Genomic DNA, 3,440 nt, shown 5'->3' with positions numbered 1-3,440 from the left:
TTACGGCGTTTACAGCCCTTAAGTCAGTTAACATACGCCATTTGCCTGATTTCTTCTGAATTACAAACACAGGAGAATTCCAAGGTGAGAACGAAGGCTCAATATGACCCTTTTCTAACTGTTCATTTGCTAATAAATGTAAAGCCTCCAGTTTTTGTTTTGGTAGCGGCCACTGATTTACCCACACCGGTTTTTCTGTTTTCCAAGTTAATGGTATGGGTTTAGGAGGCTCTACAGTGGCCGCCCCTAAAAAGGATACCCTATTCCTTCTCTTTTTTGATTTATTTTAGCCTCAACTGGAATTTTAATGCCATCTTCATTTTTCCCTAGTCCCTTTCCTGGTATATATCCCATCTTGGTCATGATTTTTTGACTCGTGGGGCTATATAATGGAGCGGGCATGGTGATTTCCGCACCCCATTGTTGTAATAAATCTCGACCCCACAGATTAAGAGGAATTGAAGTAATCATTGGCTGAACAGTACTTTCTTGATTATCTGGCCCTAAGCAATGTAAAATCTCAGTACTTTGATACACTTCTGAGGCTGTGCCTACGCCGACAAGTCCTGTAACAGCCTTTTGTTTAGGCCAATTTTTTGGCCACTGATTTAAAGCAATGATAGAGACATCTGCTCCAGTGTCTACCAACCCTTCAAACTGTTTTCCTTGAATAATGGCCTTACACACAGGTCTGTTCTCTGAGACCTGACTTGCCCAATATGCAGCCTTTCCTGTTGGATCAGTGCTTACAAGCCCTCCTATTCTTTTTATTTCACTATTTCCACCCTTAATATATGGCAGGAGTAATAATTGAGCAATCCTGTCTCCTGGAATGGCACTCCAAGGAATTGAAGAGCTAATAACCAATTGAATTTTGCCTTTATAGTCTGAATCAACCACACTAGTATGAATTTGAACTCCTTTTAGATTTAGACTTGATCTTCCCAAGATTAGTCCTACAGTCCCCTCAGGCAGGGGGCCATATACCCCTGTGGGGATTTTTTGTGGGGGCTCCCCTGGAAGCAGAGAGACTGCTTGTATAGTACATAAATCTACTGCTGCACTGCCGCTTGTGGCGGGGGACAATTGTTGTATTGTGGTAACTGGCTTATTCCCTGAAACACTTGGGACAGTGGGGGTTGTTGTCCCTGAAAACCCTGAGGAACAAATGGCTGAATTGGGAATGCCCCAGTTTGTTGTGGGGCCTGAGGCTGGCCCCTTTGCTCGTTTCCCGACAATGGTTGCCCATTTTTATCAAATTTAGAACGACATTGACTAGCCCAATGTTTTCCTTTTTTACATCTTGGACATAAGTCAGGTGGCTCTCTACCTGTTGTAGTTGCTTGAATAGTTATATTCTGTTTGTTTAAGACTGGGCAATTCTTTTTTAAGTGACCAATTTGACCACAATTATAACATTTTCCTCCAAATGTTCTAACTTGTCCTCCTAAAACAACTCCTGTTATTGCTTGAGCCATAAGCATAGCTTTATGCATAGCTCCTCCGATTCCATCACAGGCTTTTACATATTCTGAGATTACATCTGATCCTGCAGGAACCTTTCCTTTTAATGGCTTAATGGCTGATTGACACTCAGGATTGGCGTTTTCATATGCCATCAACTCCACTATGACCTTACGGGCTTTTTCATCGGCAATTGACTTTTGAGCAACATCTTGGAGCCTTGCCACAAAATCAGGATAGGGCTCTTTTGAACCTTGTCTTACTGTATTAAATGAGGGGCAGGTACTTCCTGGGTCTTGGATTTTTTCCCAGGCTCTAAGGCAGATAGCTCTAACTTGCTCAATGGCCTCATTTTGCATTAATGCTTGTTGACTAATAGTACTCCAATTTTGACCTATTCCTAATAGTTGATCTGCATCTATGTTAACTGGAGGATTGGCAGCCCTATTTCTTCGGACCTGTTCTTGTACCCCATCAATCCACCAAGTCTTAAATTGTAAAAATTGAGAGGGTGAGAGAGACGATTTTGCCAGAATCTCCCAATCATAAGGAATGAGTCTATGTCCATGAGCAATGGAATCTAATAATGTCCTCATATAAGGGGAGTTGGGTCCATACTGTTTTACTCCTTCTTTCATATCTTTTAGCATTTTTATCGAAAAAGACTTGTATCTGGCCTCAACTGTGGGAGGCTCTCCCTCTTGGGCTCCTTCTCCAGGTGGCTTCGGTTCTAACGTTACTGGGAATTGCCATGCCTCAGTATCTCCTTCCTTTCTTGATTTATCAATAATTTCATGTAATTCACTACCCTGTCTACTAGGTGGTGCCGTAGGATTAAGTCTCCTAGTGGGTGGCTGAGGGTATGGCGCCCTGCCCTGTGGTGCTGGGGGCATTCCTGGATATCCATACTGACTTTCTGGGGGTGGCCGATACTGAAGTTCAGCCGGCGGCCAGTATTGATAAGCTACTGGCGGTTGGGTCTTATTTTCTTTAACCTGCGTTTGAGGTTGTAATCTTACGGGCACCTGACCTGCTGGAAGAGGACTTGTGCCTCATGGTTTAGACTCTGATGGCCCCACTAATTCTGGACCTTTTCCTTCTAATTTTAACGTTTCAGGATATATCACCTCCTGTAATTGATTATAGTCAACATTTTGCGTTGACTGAGCCATTACCGGCTCTGCTACATATTCACAATGTAAACCTTCCGTTTCTTTCTGGGATTTTTTCCTTGTCTTTTCATTACAATCTATTAAACAGCTTCCAGGGGCATCAGAAACTGAAATGCTATCTTCTTCTGTTTGAAATGGTTCTAAAGCTGCTTTAATAATGGCCCAATCATTCCATACTGTAAGTGGAATGATATTACCCTTCCTACCTGCTTGTTTTAGTTCCTTACCAATTCTTTTCCAATCTTTTAGATCTAAAGTTCCTTGTTCTGGAAACCATGGGCAAAATTGTTCTATTATTTGAAATAGCTTGATTAGATTTTTTGTAGATACTTTAACTCCCCCTCTTTTTAAAAGAATTTTAATAAAGCTGAGATAAGAGGCATATTTACTTTTAATTTTACTTTTAGTTTGCCCCATTATCACCCTAGCTTCTTCCGAGCACACAAGCTTACCGTAAGGCTGACTGTAGACGTACTCGGGATCTCTCGTCGACTTGTCCTCAATGACCACGCTCGAGCGTACCTTCACCCTAGAGAAAAGCCTCCACGTTGGGCACCAGATGTAGGGGTGGGTTGCCCCTACACACCTGTGGGTGTTTCTCATAAGGTGGGACGAGAGATTTGGAAAAGAAAAAGACACAGAGACAAAGTATAGAGAAAGAAATAAGGGGAACCGGGGAACCAGCGTTCAGCATATGGAGGATCCTGCCAGCCTCTGAGTTCCCTTAGTATTTATTGATCATCTGTGGGTGTTTCTCAAAGAGGGGGATGTGTCAGGGTCACAAGACAATTGTGGGGAGAGGGT

This window comes from Homo sapiens, chromosome 11, assembly GCF_000001405.40.
Source record: "Homo sapiens chromosome 11, GRCh38.p14 Primary Assembly".
Lineage (NCBI taxonomy): Eukaryota > Metazoa > Chordata > Mammalia > Primates > Hominidae > Homo > Homo sapiens.
This window is presented reverse-complemented; position numbering follows the sequence as displayed.